This window comes from Homo sapiens, chromosome X (assembly GCF_000001405.40).
Source record: "Homo sapiens chromosome X, GRCh38.p14 Primary Assembly".
NCBI lineage: Eukaryota > Metazoa > Chordata > Mammalia > Primates > Hominidae > Homo > Homo sapiens.
Window position 1 is genome coordinate 48,101,730 of NC_000023.11, and position 18,957 is coordinate 48,120,686.

The 18,957-nt window shown below is 46.8% G+C and overlaps 1 pseudogene across 1 annotated transcript; it reads left to right on the forward strand.

Annotated features, from left to right (window-relative positions):
• Positions 1-6,252: 6,252 nt before the first annotated feature.
• SSX6P (SSX family member 6, pseudogene) lies at positions 6,253-18,957 on the forward strand (annotated as a pseudogene). Its single transcript, NR_028366.1, has 8 exons — positions 6,253-6,304; positions 8,231-8,319; positions 8,754-8,868; positions 9,531-9,626; positions 11,464-11,513; positions 15,283-15,418; positions 17,805-17,965; positions 18,371-18,957. The product of NR_028366.1 is annotated as an SSX family member 6, pseudogene (transcript).

Below are 18,957 nucleotides of genomic sequence, written 5' to 3' on the forward strand. Positions count from 1 at the left end.
CAGCAAGAAAGCTGCTGTTCTTCCACCTGCTTTGTTCTAGCCACGCTGGCAGTCAATTGCATGGTGCCCATCCACACTGAGGGTGGATCTTCCTCTAACAGTCAAACACTGACTCAAATGTCATCTTCTCTGGCAACACCCTCACAGACACACCCAGAAACAATGCTTCACCAGCCATCTATGCAGCCCTCAATCCAGTCAAGGTGACACCTAATGGTTAATGGTTATTAACCACGGTTAATAACCATGACAGTGGGTTCTAAATGTAATCACGTGTATCCTTATAAAAAAAAGAGGCAGAGGGAGATTTGAAGAGCTATACAGAGGAGAAGACAACGTGAAGATGGAGGAGAGAGAAATTTGGCCATCAAGATTGGAGTCATTGATATAGTTTGGATGTTTGTCCCCTCCAAATCTCAGGCTGAAATGTGAATCTTGATGGTGGAGGTGGGGCTTAGTGGGAGGTGCTTGGGTCATGGGGGCAGATCCCTCATGACTGGCTTGGTGCCCTCCCCATGGTAATGAATGAGTTCTCACTCTGTTAGTTCACACGAGAGCTGGTTGTTTAAAAGAGCATGGCATTTCTCTTGCTCCCTCTCTTTGCCATGTGACATGCCTCCTCCCCTTCACCTTTTACCATGATTGGAAGCTTCCTGAAGCCCTCACTAGAAGCAGATGCTGGTGCTATGCTTGCACAGTCTGCAGAACTGTGAGCATCAATAAACCTCTTTTCTTTATAAATTAACCAGTCTCAGTATTCCTTTATAACAATGCAAAATGGACTAATGTGGTAATGCCACCAGAAGCCAAGGAATGCCAACAGCCATCAAAAGCTGGAAAAGGCAAGAAAGGATTCTCACCAGGCATATGGTGGCTCACACTTGTAATCCCAGCACTTTGGGAGGCGGAGGTGGGTGGATTGCCTGAGCTCAAGAGTTTGAGACCAGCCTGGGAAACATGGTAAAACTCTGTCTCTACCAAAAATACAAAAAATTAGCCTGGTGTATTTGTGCATGTCTGCGGTCCCAGGTACTCAGGAGGCTGAGGTGGGAAAATCGCTTGAGCCTGGGAGGCAGAGGTTGCAGTGAGCCGTGATTGTGCCACTGCACTCTAACCTGGGTGACAGAGTGAGACCCCCATCTCAAAAAAAATAAACAAAAAAAAAATAAAAAAAGAGAAGAAAGTATTCTTCCTAGAGCCTGAGAAGGGAGCATGGCCCTTCTGACACCTTGGTTTTGGCCTAGTAATACTGTTTTCAGACCTGACCTCCAGAACTCTGAGAGAATAAATATGTGTTGTTTTCTGCCACCAAGTTTGCGGCAATTTGTTACAACAGCCACCGGAAGTTCATACCAATTTTGGCACCTAGAGGGGGAGCGCTGCTGTAGCAAATACCTAAAAATGTGAAAGTGGCTTTAAAATTGAATAATAGGTAGGTAGGTGCCAGAAGAATGTTGAAGAACTTGATAGAAAAAGCCTCGATTTACGTGAACAGACTGTTGGGAGAAATGTAAACATTGAAGGCAATTCTGATGAGGGCTCAGAAAGAAGTGAGGAACATGGGAGAGAAAGCCAATGTCATCTTCGAGAATACATATATCATCATACCATCCTAAGCAGAATGCTGGTAGAAATATAAACATTAAAGCTACCATTAGTGGCCGGTCACGGTGGCTCACGCGTGTAATCCCAGCACTTTGGGAGGCCGAGGCAGGCGGATCACCTGAGATCGGGAGTTCAAGACCAGCCTGACCAACATGGAGAAACACCACCTCTACTAAAAATACAAAAACATTAGCCGGGCATGGTGGTGCATGCCTGTAATCCCAGCTACTTAGGAGGCTGAGGCAGGAGAATCTCTTGAACCAGGGAGGTGGAGGTTGCGGTGAGCCAAGATCATGCCATTGCACTCCAGCCTGGGCAACAAGAGCGAAACTCCATACCCCCCTAAAAAAGGTGCCATTAGTAAGAGCTCAGAAGGAAATGAGGAGTATGTACTCGGAAACTAGAGGAAATGCAATTCTAGTTACATACTGGTAGAAAACTTAACTGAATTGTGTCCTCCAGTTATGTGGAAAATAGAAATTGCAAGCAATGTGTGTTATTTATCTGAAACCCAAACTAAAAAAAAAAAAAGAGAGAGAGAGAGAGACAGAGAGATTGAGAGATTGTAAGCAATGAACTTGGATATTTACCTACAGAGGTATTGCAAGCAAAGTGTTAAGGGTATGGCCTGATTCCATCTTACTGCTTTTAGTAAAATGTGAGAGGAAAGAGATACACTGAGGAAAAGACTGTTAAGCAAAAAGGATCCAGGACTTGATGATTTGGGAAATTCTCAGCCTATCAAGGTTGCAAAAGACACTAAAATTAGGAGAGGCACTGTCAGGAAGGTATGGGAAGGTATGCTCTAGAGACAATGTCAAGAATGTGGCTATGTTTGCTAGTGCTGAGGAGATTAGGCACATGACTCAAGGAGCTCTTCCACTATGCTCAGCCATAGCTGCTAATAGAAATGATATTATCTGGGAAAGATACAGAAGGACCTGCTGGTCTAAGGGTGTGAATCACTATGACATACATTCTGAGAGGAGGGCTATGGGACCAGAGGGGAGAGCTTCAAGCTACAGGGGATTATTCTGAGTCCTTGAAACCAAATGGAATTTGTCCCGCTAGATTTCAAAATGGTTGGGAGCAGGGACTCCTTCCTTTCTTCCAGTTTCTCTCATTTGAAATGGAAATATCTGTAACTATTATCCTACACCTGCCCCGCCACTGTATTTTTGGAACAGATAACTTGCTTTCTAGTGTCACAAATTCACAGCAGGAGAATTTTGCCCCAGGATGTTTCATAACCAGAGTCTCATCCATATCTGTTTTAGATGAGGAGACTTGGTACTTTTGAGCTGATCTTATATGGATAAGATGGACTTCAGCTAATGTTGCACGGTTTGAGACATTTGAGGATTTGGGGATGGGGTGCATGTATTTTGCATGTGGGAGAGATGTGAATACTTGGGGGCCAGAGGGCAGGCTGTGGTAGACTGAACAACACCCCTCCAAAAGATAGCGATATAGTAACCCCTGGAACCTGTGAGTGTTAGCTTACAACAAAAAATGTGATTATGTTGGCCAGGTATGGTGGCTCACGCCTATAATCCCAGCACTTTGGGAGGCTGAGGCGGGTGGGTCACGAGATCAGGAGTTCAAGACCAGCCTGGCCAAGATGGTGAAACCCCATCTCTACTGAAAATACAAAAATTAGTTGGGCATGGTGGCGGGCATCTGTAATCCCAGCTACTCAGGAGGGTAAGGCAGAGGTTGCAGTGAGCCGAGGTCACGCCACTGCACTGCAGCCTGGGTGACAGAGTCAGACTCCGTCTCAAAAAAAAAAAAAAAAAGTAATTATGTTAAAAATCCTGAGATGGGGAGATTCTCCTGGATTATCTGGGTGGGCCCTAAATGTAATAATGAGTGCCTTTATCAGATTAAGGCAGGGAGATCTGACACAGACAGAAGAGAAGAAGGCAGTAAGCCTGCCATGGTTTGAACGTCCCCACCAAAACTTGTGTTGAAATTTAATTGCCATTGTTAACAATATTAAAAGGTGGGGCTGTTAGGAAGTGATTAATGCCATTATCATAAGAGTGGATTAGTTATCACGAGATTGGGTTTGTTATAAAAGGGAGCTTAGTCACATTTTCTCTGTCTGTCTCCTGCACTTGCTTTTGCCTTTCATCCTTCCATCATGACACAACCCTCACCAGATGCCAGCGCCATGTTCTTGGACTCCTAGCCTCTAGAACTGTATACCAAATGAACTTCTATCCTTTATAAATTACCCAGTTTGTGGTATTCCATTATAGTAACAGAAAACAAACGAAGGCAATGACCATGGAGGTAGAGATTAGAGTGATGCAGCCATGTATTAGTCCGTTCTCACACTGCTATAAAGAGCTGCCCGAGACTGGGTAATTTATAAAGGAAAGAGATTTAACTGATTCACAGTTCCGCATGGCTGGGGAGGCCTCAGGAAACAATCATGGCCAAAGGTGAAGAGGAAGCAAAGACTTTCTTCACATGGTAGCAGGAGACAGAAGTGCAAGCAGGGGAAATGCCAGACGCTTGTAAAACCATCGGACCTCATGAGAACTCACTGTCACAAAAACAGCATGGGGAAAACCACCCCCGTGGGGATTTGTAATCTGTGGGGATTACAATTCGAGATGAGACTTGGGTGGGGACACAGAGCCAATCCATATCAAGCCACAAGCCAAGAAATGCTGGCAATCACGGGAAGCTGGAAGAGGCAAGGAACAGGTTCTCTCCTAGAGCCTCTGGAGGTGTACAGCCCTGCCGACAACTTGATTTCAACTCAGTGAAACTGATTTCAGATTTCTGGGCTCCAGAATTGTGAGAGAATAAATTGATGTTGTTTATGCCACAAAGTTTGCGGTAATTTGTTACAGCAGCCAGAGGGAATTTGGGGTGATTGTAAGGAGTTATGTAAATTATGTTAAAGAACCTTTGCAGTTGTAAGATGCATTCATTCATTCAACAAATAGTCGAGGCAATATAGAAGAGTAATTAAAAGCACCGACTTTGAGGCCGGGCGTGGGATGGTTCACTCCTATAATCCCAGTGTTTTGGGAAGCCAAGGCAGGAGGATTGCTTGAGGCCAGCAGTTCCTTCCAGATCAGCGGGGACAACATAGCAAGACCCCATCTCTTAAAAAATTATTTTAATTAAAAATAAATAAATACATAAATAAAAGCACAGACTTTGGACTCAATTCATCTTGGGGGTGAATCCCAGCTCTGTCACCCACTGACTATGTGACCTCGAGCAGACTGCTTAATTCTCTGAGCCTCAGTCTCAACATCTGCGCACTGGGGATGATAATAGTATTTAACTCCAGAGAAGGTTGTGAAAACTAATCGGAAGATGCACATAAAGGGCTTTGTGCTGGACTAAAGGGCCATTGCCCTGTCCCTGCCCTAAGAGAGCTTGCTGTCATCCTGGGAGGATCTTAGAGAGATCAGGGCTGTAGATGGAAAGCCCAGAGAGGAACGGGGTCATGTTGGAGATACTAGGGATGGGGGTAGGGGAAACTTCTTGGACAAATTGACTTATGAGCTCCCTGATGAACACAGTGGGCCTGAATTACATACTCTTTTTAATACTATTACGATAAACATTATTAATATCAATGGGTAAAATATATTTCTGGTTCTTTGGTCTTCTAGAAAAAAACATATATAGAAGTTTTTTTTTTTTTTAGTTTGAATTTCTTTTTTAAATTTTTTTTATAGAGATGGGGGTCTCACTATGCATCCCAGATTGTTCTGGAACTCCTATCCTCAAGTGATCCTTCCACCTCCTGCCTCAGCCTCTCAAGGTGTTGGGATTACAGGCATGAGCCACTGGGACTGGCTCATTGAAATTTTTCTTTCTTTCTCTTTTTTTTTTTTTCTGACAAGATCTCGCTCTGTGGCCGAGGTAGGCAGCAGTGGCTGGATCATGGTCACTGCAACCTCGTACTCCTGGGCTCAAGTGATCCTCAGCCTCCTGAGTAACTGGGACTACAGGCACACCACCCCACCTCGCTAATTTTATTTATTTTTTGTAGAGATAAGGGACAGGGTATCGCTCTGTTGTCCAGGCTGGGGTGCAGTGGCGTGATTGTGGCTCACTGCAACCTCTGCCTCCCGGGTTCAAACGATCCACCAGCTGTGGCCTCCCAATGTGCTGGGACTACAAGCATGAGCCACCGTGCCCGGCCCAAATTTCTGACGTTACTACAGAGTTCCTAGGAAAAATCCCATACCTGAAAAAGTTAGAAACTGACAGGAAGGATTTGAGATGACGACCTGCTTCATATACACTACTTATTAAAACTGGATAACAAATGCACCGCGGGGGGGTAGGGAGGGATAGGAAAAAAATGGAAAGAGAAAATCAGCACATGAGTACTCTGATTTTGGAAGAATCTAAAGAGAATATCAGAGCATGCATACTCTGAACTTGGAGTAGCCAATCCCAGGGGATGCTTTAGGCGGGAAAATCAGAGTCTCCGCCCCCACTTTGAGAAGGTTGTGTCCCTGGAGCCTCAACTGATAGACCCCACATCACCTTCGCTCCTCCCACCTACTGTTCTGACTTCTGATTGGCCAAATGGAGTTCACTAACTGCCCTGATTGGTCCATCATCCTGGGGCAGTGACATTGCAGAATATTTTCTCCTCCTCCAACCACACTTTGTCACCAACTGCTGCCGACCTCGCCACCACTGCTTTGTCTCTGAGGTAGGTTCTCTTGAAGGGACACCCTAGATGGGCTAATGGGGGCAGATAGAAAAGGAGGAAGCCTCTGTAGGGCCCTCGAGTGCTCGGGGTTCTGAAAATCTTGAGGACTGAAAGACAGCTAATGCCTTTCAGGAGGATCATCATGGAGGATCCTCCCACCTCGGCCTCGGGTCTACAGGCCTGTGTCATCCAACCCCTGGAAATATTTTTTTATTTTTGTATTTTAGTAGAGACGGGGGGCTCAAGCAATCCTCCCGCCTCGACCTCGGGAGTACAGGCACGCACCACCCTGCCCTCACTAATATTTTTTATTTTTTATTTTTCTTAGTAGAGACAGTTCTGCCATGTTGACCAGGCTGGCCTCAACCGCCTGGGCTCAAGCAATCCTCCCGCCTCGGCCTCAGGACTACAGGCACGCACCACCCTGCCCCCACTAATATTTTTTATTTTTTATTTTTTTAGTACAGACGGTTTTGCTATGTTGGCCAGGCTGGCCTCGACCACCTGGGCTTAAGCAATCCTTCCGCCTCGGCCCTGGGACTACAGAAGTGCACCAACCTGCCCACGCTTTTTTTTTTTTTTTTTTTTTTTAATTATTAGAAGCCGGGTTTCACTACGTTGGCCAGGCTGGCCTCAACCTCCTGGGCTCAAGCGATCCTCCCACCTTGGCCTCAGGACTACAAGTGTGTGCCATTCCACCCCTGCTAGTTTTTTGTTTGTTTGTTTGTTTTTTGTTTGTTTGTTTGTTGTTGTTGTTGTTTTTAGTAGAGACGGGGCTTTACTATGTTGGCTGGGCTGGTGTTGACCTCCTGGGCTCAAGCAATCCTCCCACCTCGGCCTTAGAACTATAGGCAGGAGCCACCTTGCCCGTGCTATTTTTTTGTTGTTATTGTTGTTAGTAGAAATGGGGTTTTGCTATGTTGGCCAGGCTGGCCTGGACCTCCTGGGCTCAAGAGATCCTCTTGCCTCGGCCTTGGGACTACAGGAGCGCACCACCCTGCCCCGACTAATATTTTTTATTTATTTATTTATTTATTTTTTAGTGGAGGGTTTCACTAGGTTGGCTAGGCTGGTATCGACCTCGTGGGCTCAAGCGATCCGCCCCTCCCTTGGCCTGCCAAAGTGCTGAGATGTTACAGGCCTGTGCCACCACCCCCAGCTAATTTTTTTTGGGTTTTTTTTTTTTTTTTTTTGTAGAGATGGGGGTTTTGCTATGTTTCCCAGGCTGGTCTCGACCTCCTGGGCTCAAGCGATCTGCACGCCTCGGCCCCCCAAAATGCTGGGATTACAGGCATGAGCCACCACGCCTGGCCGATTGCTGCAACTTGAAATGCCCCACATTCTCTCTAAGTGATGGCGGGCTCTTGTAGTCTTGGAGATTCTAGCTCTCTTCCTTCTAATGATTTACAAATAACCCAGTAATAGCCTCTAAATCCGTTCATATTGGCCATGCTCATTTCTCATCAACAGAACAGAACCCCCCATCCCTCTGCCTGATCAGATCCATCACCAGAGAGACCATGTTATCTCTGGGACTCACTTCCCTTCCTTAATTTATTGAGTGGTGGTGTCAGAACGCCCCCACTCAATAAAATTACACAGTCATGTCCCTGCCTCCCCAACAAGGGTCTGTACGTCTTTCAGGGTAAGCCTGGCTCCAGGGAAACTGCTAACAACATTAGCCAACCCCCTCCCAAAGACTCAAGGCTGCTATGTCCATAGGAAACTTGTCATCCCCAATCAATACTTCTCCCAGAGACCCCTGGCTCCCTGTTTTCATCTGACTTCTCCCCATGTCCTTACTCACGGGCAGATAAGTCCCGGATGCAGAAATGCAACACCTGATTCCAGGTGACTGAGTGTGGCCGGCCTTCACAGATTTCTCCCTCCGCAGGACTGGAAAGACTCAGGCTGTTTCTCTTGCAGGTCAGAGTGCTCCTGGTGCCATGAACGGAGACGACGCCTTTGCAAAGAGACCCAGGGATGATGCTAAAGCATCAGAGAAGAGAAGCAAGGTGAGGTGACCTGGAGGGGGCAGAGCAGTGGTCCAGGGGACAGAGTAGGGTGACCAGGTTTCTGAGGAGGGGAGGACAGAGGTACTGGGGACAAGGACCAGGGTCTCGGGGGAGATCTGGACCCTTGAGAGCCTCCCACCCTCGCTCTGTCATCACCTACCATCCCTGGAGACAAGTCTGTGACCTTGCTCTACATTTGGTAACTCTCACTCCATTCTGGAAGGTGGGAAGAGAGCCAGCCAGCATCACTGAAGCCCTACTGTGTGGCAGGGGAGAAGCTAGGGAAGGTCCCCATGTTCTGTCAGTTAGCCATGGCATCAACCAGGACGGATTATCATCCCCAATTCCCAGATCCAGCACACAGGAAGCGGCTCCAGCTGAATGGCAGACATGCCTAGTTGAGTCACTGCCAGAATTTCTTTCTTTTTTCCTAGGCCTTCGATGATATTGCCAAATACTTCTCTAAGGAAGAGTGGGAAAAGATGAAATTCTCGGAGAAAATCAGCTGTGTGCATATGAAGAGAAAGTATGAGGCCATGACTAAACTAGGTAACAGAAAGTTCTAGGAACAGACAAGTCTGGGGACACATGAGCATCCCTTTTCCTGCCTAGGCTACTTCTTAGACTGCAGAAAGTACCCCACGTTTTCCTTTTGTGCAGGGAAAAATGGCAAGGCAGCTCCTGGGTGTTCTGCTCTTCTGTATCCTGTCAGGGCTGAGGGCAGGGACTGGCCACAGTGGAGCTCGTACCTGGATCCTGCACGTTTCTTTCCCATAGGTGTCTGTTCTGATGAGCCCAGCTGTCTCTGTGGCATCACAGCACACCTCCCACCCTACCTTCCTCCTCTGGTCTTGTCCCTCTCCGTCTCTCTCTCTCTCTCTTTTTGAGTCAGAGTCTCACTCTGTCACCTAGGCTAGAGTCCAGTAGTGCAACCATAGCTCAATGCAGCCTCGAACTCCTGGGCTCAAGCAATCCTCCTGCTCAGCCTATGGAGTAGCTGAGGCTACAGGCACATGCCACCATGCCCAACTAATTTTATTTTATATTTTGTAGATATGGGGGTCTCTCTGTGTTACCCAGGCTCTTCCTGAACTCCTGGCCTCAAGCAATCCTCCCGCCTCAGCCTCCCAAAGTGCTGGTACGACAGACATGAGCCACCGTGCCAGGCCTAAGTTTGTCCCTTAAGGAATAAACATTTTGCTTCTTTCTAGGTTTCAACGTCACCCTCTCACTTTTCATGCGTAATAAACGGGCCACAGACTCTCAGAGGAATGATTCTGATAATGACCGTAACCGTGGGAATGAGGGTGAGTAGATGGGAAGGGACTGGAAAGGGTCTCCTCAAGCCCAACTGCTTTTCAGCTCAGCTACCTGGGAAAGATCCTCAGGCATTTGTTCTCTCATACACATCAGGGCTGAGTGAAAAAAAATTGCAGGCGGAAAGTTAACTACAGAGGCCATTCATATAAAATTTTAAAACATGCAAAACAAGAATATATATTTTTATGGATAATTAGTAAATGGTAAATGCATGAAAACATGAATGTGAATAAAAAGCCATCAAATTGAGGAGACTGGCTGTAAATGGAGAAGGAGCAGGGGCAGGGATTGGTGAGTGCTGCACAGGCAGCTTCAGTCATGACTTGTTGATAGTGTGTTTTGTTTTGTTTTGTTTTTGTTTTTGTTTTGAACTGGAGATTTGCTCTTGTCTCCCAGGCTGGAGTGCAATGGCACAGTCTCAGCCCACTACAGCCTCTGCCTCCTGGGTTCAAGCGATTCTCCTGCCTCAGCCTCCTGAGTAGATAGGATTACAGGCGCCCGCCACCATGCCCACCTAATTTTTGTATTTTTAGTAGAGACGGGGTTTCACCATGTTGGCCAGGCTGTTCTCAAACTCCTGACCTCAGGTGTTCCACCCACTCAGCCTCCCAAAGTGCTGGGATTACAGGTGTGAGCTACCGCACCCGGCCCGTTTATAGTGTTTCTAACATTCTGAATAAATAAATCAGATCTAACATAGTCATGGGGTAATGTTGAGATGCAACTGAACTCAATATTATTCCCCATACTTTTGTGTGTGTTTGAAATATTTCTTTTTTAAAGGACATGTTGTTCTTGCTAAACACTGCTAATGAATCAAAGGACAGTTAAGAAAATGTTAAAAGTGAAAAACAGAAAGAAAATGTTAAAAGTGTAGAGCCGCCAAAAACTTCCAGAGTTTGTTTCATTAACAGCATGTAGATATTGGATAAATATCTTAAGAGAGAGGGTGATGCACACATTATGTAATAAAGATCGCTGTTTCTCTGTATTTTATTAAAACCAAATAGTCTTCTCATTCCCAAACAACCCCGATTCTCCGTGATGAGCTTGGAAGTGAGTTTGAAAGAGTGATCCCTCATCCAACACACAGAGAGCTTTCCCACTTGTCAGTGAGCAGAGATAACACAGGGTGAAAAAAAAGACAGGTTCTTGGGTAGAGAGCTTTGTGCAGTTCAGGAATATAAAGGGGTCATATGTGTTTCCTGGCTCTTCTGCTCTGACAATACAATCATAAGACAAGGTCAGAATGTCCAAACTGTCTCCAATAGACCTGTTACTCCCCAACAGACAGGCCAGATTCTACAATCTCCCACAATCACTACAAGAGGTCTGAAAATCCAGTGCTTGAGTATCTGCCAAGCTTTTGACTTTAAAGGAGTGTCTTTATACTGAAAATGTTTCAGAGCCACCGGACTAAGTCATCCATGGTTCATCACACATTTAACAGCTTAATTGACATACCATAAGATCCACCCATTTGAAGTGTACAGTGATTTTTAGTTTGAGTGGATACAGTTCAGATTCCCAACCAATCAATTTAATTATTTGGGAAAAAGTAAAAGATATGTAATGGAATAAGATGAGACTGTGATGGGGTTTAACCCCCATTTGATAAACTATGAGATGGAAAATTCTGAATTGATGCCACAGATAAGTGAACCAACCATGACTAAACATAATTCAGAAGCAAATCTCAAATAACTCCTCAAGAATCAGTAGACTCATAAACCTCTGCTGCAGAATGCCCTGATGCGACAGAAGTCTGTCTAGAGTTTGGGAATCTTTACCAACAAAGAAAAATTCTAATGTATTCTCTTTCAGTTGAACGTCCTCAGATGACTTTTGGCAGGCTCCAGAGAATCATCCCGAAGGTGAGTATCTCTCAAATCTACAGGACCAGAGAACCTTTGTCCCTCCACGGATGTGAACACTGGTAAGAGCGGGAGAATATCAAAAATGTCCTCATTGCCTCCTTCTCCCCATGTCTATCACAACACCAGATGTGGCATCAATGGCTTGATAATACTAACAGTTGTGATCCTTAATACTTCTTTTGTTTTCATAGTGATGCCAGATACTATTTTAAGCAGTTCAGATGGATTAATTAATTTAATCCATAAGAAGACCTCTATGACATTGTTTCTGTTATTATCTCCAAAGAATAACAAGTCACACACTTTGGTTGTCATCCATATGAAAGCCATGTGACTTGGCGCAAATCTTCTAAGTTCTCTGAGCTCCAGATTCCTGGTCCATGAAATGGAAGTAAAGAATCATAGTTCATGTTTTAGATCATAGTTATCAGCAACATAATAATAAAATGAGGCTATCGTGGTACAGAGATGTTAAAGAATTTTCCTGAGGCGCAGTGTCAGTGGTAGTCTAATCCAGAGCTCCAAGCCATTTAAAGCTCATTCACGTCTGCATTTGTTTATGAAGTTCAGATGTTGCTCACTAGGGCTTCACCCCATAGGGCCTCCTGGTGCTTCCGTTGAGACACCCACTCTCACAACAGGAAGGACCAGCTGGCCTCTGCTCTGTTACCGGGGCCACTCGCATGGCTTAGGAATCGCTTTGACTGTTGGCCCCTCCATACTGTGAGCTCCTTGAGGGCCTTGTCTGCACCTGGGGCATCCGGGAAACCCCAGTCCCAGCCCAGGGGATCCATCGGAGGCCCCTGAATGAGTGACCCCACAATTGCAGATTCAACTCTGGTTTAGATGGTAAAGGGATCTGGGAGCTGGGTTGCCAGTGTGGAGACCGAATTCAAAGCAGGATCCAGAAAGGTATTAATTGTTATTATTATTACATTTAAACAGTGTTTACAAGCTCAGAGAGGAATTTCCCTTAGCCTATTTTACACATATTTTTCACTATTTCATAAGTGAGGAAGCTGAGTAAAAAGTACCTTAAGGGCCCGGTGCGGTGGCTCACGAGTGTAATCCCAGCACTTTGGGAGGCCAAGGCAGGCAGATCACGAGGTCAAGAGATCGAGACCATCCTGGCCAACGTGGTGAAACCTCGTCTCTACTAAACATACAAAACTTAGTGGGGCGTGGTAGTGCCTGCCTATAGTCCCAGCTACTCGGGAGGCTGAGGCAGGGGAATCGCTTGAACCGGGGAGGGGGAGATTGCAGTGAGCAGAGGTCACGCCACTGCACTCTAGCCTGGCGACAGAGTGAGACGCTGTCTCAAAAAAAAAAAACAAGCCCACCAGCCTGGCCCAGTTCAATTTATAAAAATGTGGCAATCAGCTCTCCCTCTACCTCTCCCCAGGGTCTCCCTCTCCCTCTCTTTCCACGGTCTCCCTCTGATGCCGAGCCGAAGCTGGACTGTGCTGCTGCCATCTCGGCTCACTGCAACCTCCCTGCCTGATTCTCCTGCCTCAGCCTGCCGAGTGCCTGCGATTGCAGGCGCGTGCCGCCACGCCTGACTGGTTTTCGTATTTTTTTGGTGGAGACGGGGTTTCGCTGTGTTGGCCGGGCAGGTCTCCAGCTCCTAACCGCCAGTGATCCGCCAGCCTCGGCCTCCCGAGGTGCCGGGATTGCAGACGGAGTCTCGTTCACTCAGTGCTCAATGGTGCCCAGGCTGGAGTGCAGTGGCGTGATCTCGGCTCGCTACAACCTCCACCTCCCAGCCGCCTGCCTTGGCCTCCCAAAGTGCCGAGATTGCAGCCTCTGCCCTGCCGCCACCCCGTCTGGGAAGTGAGGAGCGTCTCTGCCTGGCCGCCCATCGTCTGGGATGTGAGGAGCCCCTCTGCCTGGCTGCCCAGTCTGGAAAGTGAGGAGCGTCTCTGCCCGGCCGCCATCCCACCTGGGAAGTGAGGAGCGCCTCTTCCTGGCCGCCATCCCATCTAGGAAGTGAGGAGCGTCTCTGCCCCGCCGCCCATCATCTGAGATGTGGGGAGCGCCTCTGCCCCGCCGCCCCGTCTGGGATGTGTGGAGCACCTCTGCCCGGCCGCGACCCAGTCTGGGAGGTGAGGAGCGTCTCTGCCCGGCCGCCCCGTCTGAGAAGTGAGGAGACCCTCCGCCTGGCAACTGCCCCGTCTGAGAAGTGAGGAGCCCCTCCGCCCGGCAGCCGCCCCGTCCAGGAGGGAGGTGGGGGGGTCAGCCCCCCACCCGGCCAGCCGCCCCGTCCGGGAGGTGAGGGGCTCCTCTGCCCGGCCGCCCCTACTGGGAAGTGAGGAGCCCCTCTGCCTGGCCAGCTGCCCCGTCCGGGAGGGAGGTGGGGAGGTCAGCCCCCCGCCCGGCCAGCCACCCCGTCCGGGAGGTGAGGGGCGCCTCTGCCCGGCTGCCCCTACTGGGAAGTGAGGAGCCCCTCTGCCCGGCCAGCTGCCCCGTCCGGGAGGGAGGTGGGGGGGTCAGCCCCCCGCCCGGCCAGCCCCCCCGTCCGGGAGGTGAGGGGCGCCTCTGCCCGGCTGCCCCTACTGGGAAGTGAGGAGCCCCTCTGCCCGGCCACCACCCCGTCTGGGAGGTGTACCCAACAGCTCATTGAGAACCGGCCATGATGACAATGGCAGTTTTGTGGAATAGAAAAGGGGGAAAGGTGGGGAAAAGATTGAGAAATCGGATGGTTGCTGTGTCTGTGTAGAAAGAAGTAGACATGGGAGACTTTTCATTTTGTTCTGTACTAAGAAAAATTCTTCTGCCTTGGGATCCTGTTGATCTATGACCTTATCCCCAACCCTGTGCTCTCTGAAACATGTGCTGTGTCCACTCAGGGTTAAATGGATTAAGGGCGGTGCAAGATGTGCTTTGTTAAACAGATGCTTGAAGGCAGCATGCTCGTTAAGAGTCATCACCAATCCCTAATCTCAAGTAATCAGGGACACAAACACTGCGGAAGGCCACAGGGTCCTCTGCCTAGGAAAACCAGAGACCCTTGTTCACTTGTTTATCTGCTGACCTTCCCTCCACTATTGTCCTATGACCCTGCCAAATCCCCCTCTGCAAGAAACACCCAAGAATGATCAATAAAAAACAAAACAAAACAAAAACAAAAACAAAAAAGGGTAGCTTAAGATTGTTGGTCAGTGACACATCCCAATGCAACCAGAATTGTTATGGGCACCACCTCACTGAATTCCACATTCAATGTCGGTGCCTCGGTAGGGTGGTATGTCATATCTGGTACTGCTTTCTTTGATGTCTAGATTAATTTCAGCAAACCATTTCTTTCCCTCTCTCTTCCCTGTATTCATCTCCCCACACCATCTTTCCCAGCAGTGTTTTGTCCCCTCTCTATGTCTTTACATTTACTCTCCCAGCAGCTGTCTACAAGCTTATATTGGGATCCCTCGTATTTTATAGAAGCTTTTCCTTTTATAGACCTTGTGAATTCTTAGAATGCTATTCTCCAAAACTTCTGTATACCACACTCTCAATTACAGGGAGATTTCTGCTGTTTGCACGAATCTTAAAAGAGTGTGAAGATAAGCATTCTAGCCCTGGAAACCCCATTCATTTAGGCCATTCCTTTCGCTTCTAACCTCCCAGGTTTCTCCTAATTTAGGCACATGTGACTCTCCCAGCGTTGTTGAGAACATTGATTAAGGTAATGCATGTGAAGACACTTTGTAAGCTCTAAAGCACTATAGAAATGTCACTGATACTGTTTATCTGTGACCTTCATATTATAAAGATCATGCCCGAGAAGCCAGCAGAGGAAGGAAGTGATTCGAAGGGAGTGCCAGAAGCATCTGGCCCACAGAACGATGGGAAAAAGCTGTGCCCGCCGGGAAAAGCAAGTAGCTCTGAGAAGATTCACGAGAGATCTGGTAAGAGGAAACGATTTGGGAACAACCCCTCTGGCTTCCCTGGCTATGTTCAGGTGTGTGGACTGGGTGTGTGGCATGGATCCCAGACAAGCCTGGGTCCAGGCTAGGCTGAGGAGCTCGCCCAGCTCCAGATGAGATGTTACACATGACTTCCAGAGACACAGACTGGAGTTGTCATCCATATAAAAAACCATGTGACTTGGGGCAAGTCTTCCAAATTTTCTCAGCTCCAGATTCCCAGTCCATAAGATGGAAATAAAGAATCATAGTTCATAGATTGTTGGGAGGCATTGAATTTAATCTAGGAGGCCTGATGACATGAACGGTGCTCAGGCGATTCTATCTGTGATAACCTGGGAACCTGGGATCACATCTTACTCAGCTCAATGCCTGATACCCAATACAGGTGTACTTCAGAGATATTGCAGGTTCGGTTCCAGACCACTGCAATAAAGTGAGTCACACACATTGTTTTTTGTTTGTTTTGCAGTGCATATAAACATTATGTTTACACTACAGTGTAGTCTACTAAGTGTGCAATAGCATTATGTCTAAAAAGTACATACCTTAATTTTAAAATAATTCATTTTTTAAAAATGCTAACAATCTTCTGAGCCTTCAGTGAGTCACACTCTTTTTACTGGTGGAGGGTCTTGCCTCGGTGTTGATGGCTGCTGGCTGATCAAGGTGGTGGTTGCTGAAGGGTGGAGTGGCTGTGGCAGTTTCTTAAAAGAACACAACAATGAATTACATCGATTAGCTCTCCCTTTCATGAAAGATTTATCTGTAGTATGTGATGCTATTGGATAGCATTTTACCCACAGTAGAACTTCTTTCAAAGTTGGAGTCAGTCCTCTCTAGCTATGAAAGTTTTAGATGGCATCTGCTTCCAATAGAAGGCTGTTTAATCTATATTGAAAATCTGTTGTTTAGTGTAGCCACCTTCATCAGTGATTTTAGCTAGATCTTCTGGATAACTTGCTGCAGCTTCTCCATCAGTGTTTGCTGCTACACCTTGCACTTTTATGTTATGGGGACAGCTTCTTTCCTTAAACCTCACAAACCAACCTCTGCTAGTTTCACACGTTTCCTCTGCAGCTTCTTCACCTCTCTCAGCTTTCCTGGACTGGAAGAGAGTTTGGGTCTTGCTCTGAATTAGACTTTGGCTTAAGGGAATGTTGTGGCTGGTTTCGTCTTCTATCCTGACCACTTTCTCATTTCAGCAGTAAGGCAGTTTTGCTTTCTTATTCGTGTGTTCACTGGAGTATTAGTATTATTATTTTCTTCAAGAACTTTTCCTTTGCAGTATATACTATTATTTCCTTCAAGAACTTTTCCTTTGCATTCACAGCTTGGCTGGTGCAAGAGGCCTAGCTTTCAGCCTGTCTTGGCTTTCAGCATGCCTCCTCACTAAGCCTAGCCATTTCTAGCTTCTGATTTAAAGTGAGAGACATGCGACTCTTCCTTTCATTTGAACACTTAGCGGCCATTGTAGGGTTGTTCATTGTCCTAATTTCAGTATTGCTGTGTCTCAGGAAATAATAGGGAGGCCCAAGAAAAGGAAGAGAGGCAGGGAAGAGCTCATCGGTGGAGCAGTCAGAACACACACAACATTAATTGATTACGTTCGTCATCTTCTGTGGGCGCAGTTCTTAGTACCCCCAAAACATTTACACAGAACAGGGTGACTATAGTCAATAATAACTTAATCATACATTTAAAAATAACTAAAAGAGTGTAAATGGATTGTTTGTAACACAAGGATAAATGTTTGAGGGGATGGATACCCTATTTTCCACGATGTGATTACTACGCATTTGCATGACTGTATCAAAGCATCTCATGTACCCCATAAGAATATACACCTACTGCGTACCCACAAAATAAAGAACAAAAATTATTTTAAAAGACTAAAAAACAACAAAAACAATTGCAATAATAACATCAAAGCTCACTGATCACAAATCACCATAACAGATATAATAATAATGGAAAAGTGTAAAATTGGTGAGAATTTCTAAAAAAAAATGCAGTATCTGCGAAGCACTACGAAAATGAGGTGCAATAAAACGAGGTATGCCTGTGTGCCCTTAACAAATACTTGCAGAATGAAAGGAGGTAAGGGTGAATGTTCCCGTAAGTGAAGAGGTTGGTAATCTAAACGTCACAACAGAAGGAGCCAGAAGCTAAAAACTTTAATTGGTATTTGTCGTGTATTGGTGTGGGTTTAAGGTCTCAGCCTCTCTAAGCCAGAGAATGTGAAAAACTGGATAAAGAAGGCCCATGGGCACTTGGGAGGGGGGAGGCATCTCCTGCTTTTGAGAAAACAGAGCGTAACACTCTCCAACCTACCCAACCCTCATCTCCCAACTCTTCTCCATCATAGGACCCAAAAGGGGGAAACATGCCTGGACCCACAGACTGCGTGAGAGAAAGCAGCTGGTGATTTATGAAGAGATCAGCGACCCTGAGGAAGATGACAAGTAACTCCATAAGTGAACCTTCGGCTCACCCTCCACATCCCTGCAGATGTGCTATTCTGTTATGGTACTGGTATCCCATCTGTCACTTGTTCCCCAAATCATTCCCTTCTCATAATTTTCTACTGTACAGCATTGAGGCTGAACGATGAGATTTCCCATGCTCTTCCTACTCCCTGCCCTGTATATCCAGGGATCCTCCCTACCCTGGATGCTGTGGGCTCCCAAACCCCAGGTCAGCACTGATATGCGGGCCACACCTTTCTCTAGCCTAGAAATTGATAACTCAGGCGAGGAAGTCACTGTGGCATGAACAGATGGTTCACTTCGAGGAACCGTGGAAGGCGTGTGCAGGTCCTGAGGTAGGGCAGAATCAGAGTGTGCAGGGTCTGCAGGTCAGGAGGAGTTGAGATTGAGTTGCCACGTGGTGGGAACTCACTGCCACTTATTTCCTTCTCTCTTCTTGCCTCAGCCTCAGGGATACGACACATGCCCATGATGAGAAGCAGAACGTGGTGACCTTTCACGAACGTGGGCATGGCTGCGGACCCCTCGTCATCAGGTGTATAGCAAGTGAAAGCAAGTGTTCACAACAGTGAAAAGTTGAGCGTCATTTTTCTTAGTGTGCCAAGAGTTCGATGTTGGCGTTTCCGTTGTATTTTCTTGCAGTGTGCCATTCTGTTAGACATTAGCATTTTCGTTGATGAGCAAGACATGCTTAATGCATATTTCGGCTTGTGTATCCATGCACCTACCTCAGAAAACAAGTATTGTCAGGTATTCTCTCCATAGAACAGCACTACCCTCCTCTCTCCCCAGATGTGACTACTGAGGGGAGGTCTGAGTGTTTAATTTCCGATTTTTTCCTCTGCATTTACACACACACCACACACGCACACACACACACCAAGTACCAGTATAAGCATCTCCCATCTGCTTTTCTCCACTGCCATGTGTCCTGGTCAAGCCCCCCTCACTCTGTTTCCTGTTCAGCATGTACTCCCCTCATCCGATTCCCCTCTATCAGTCACTGACAGTTAATAAACCTTTGCAAACGTT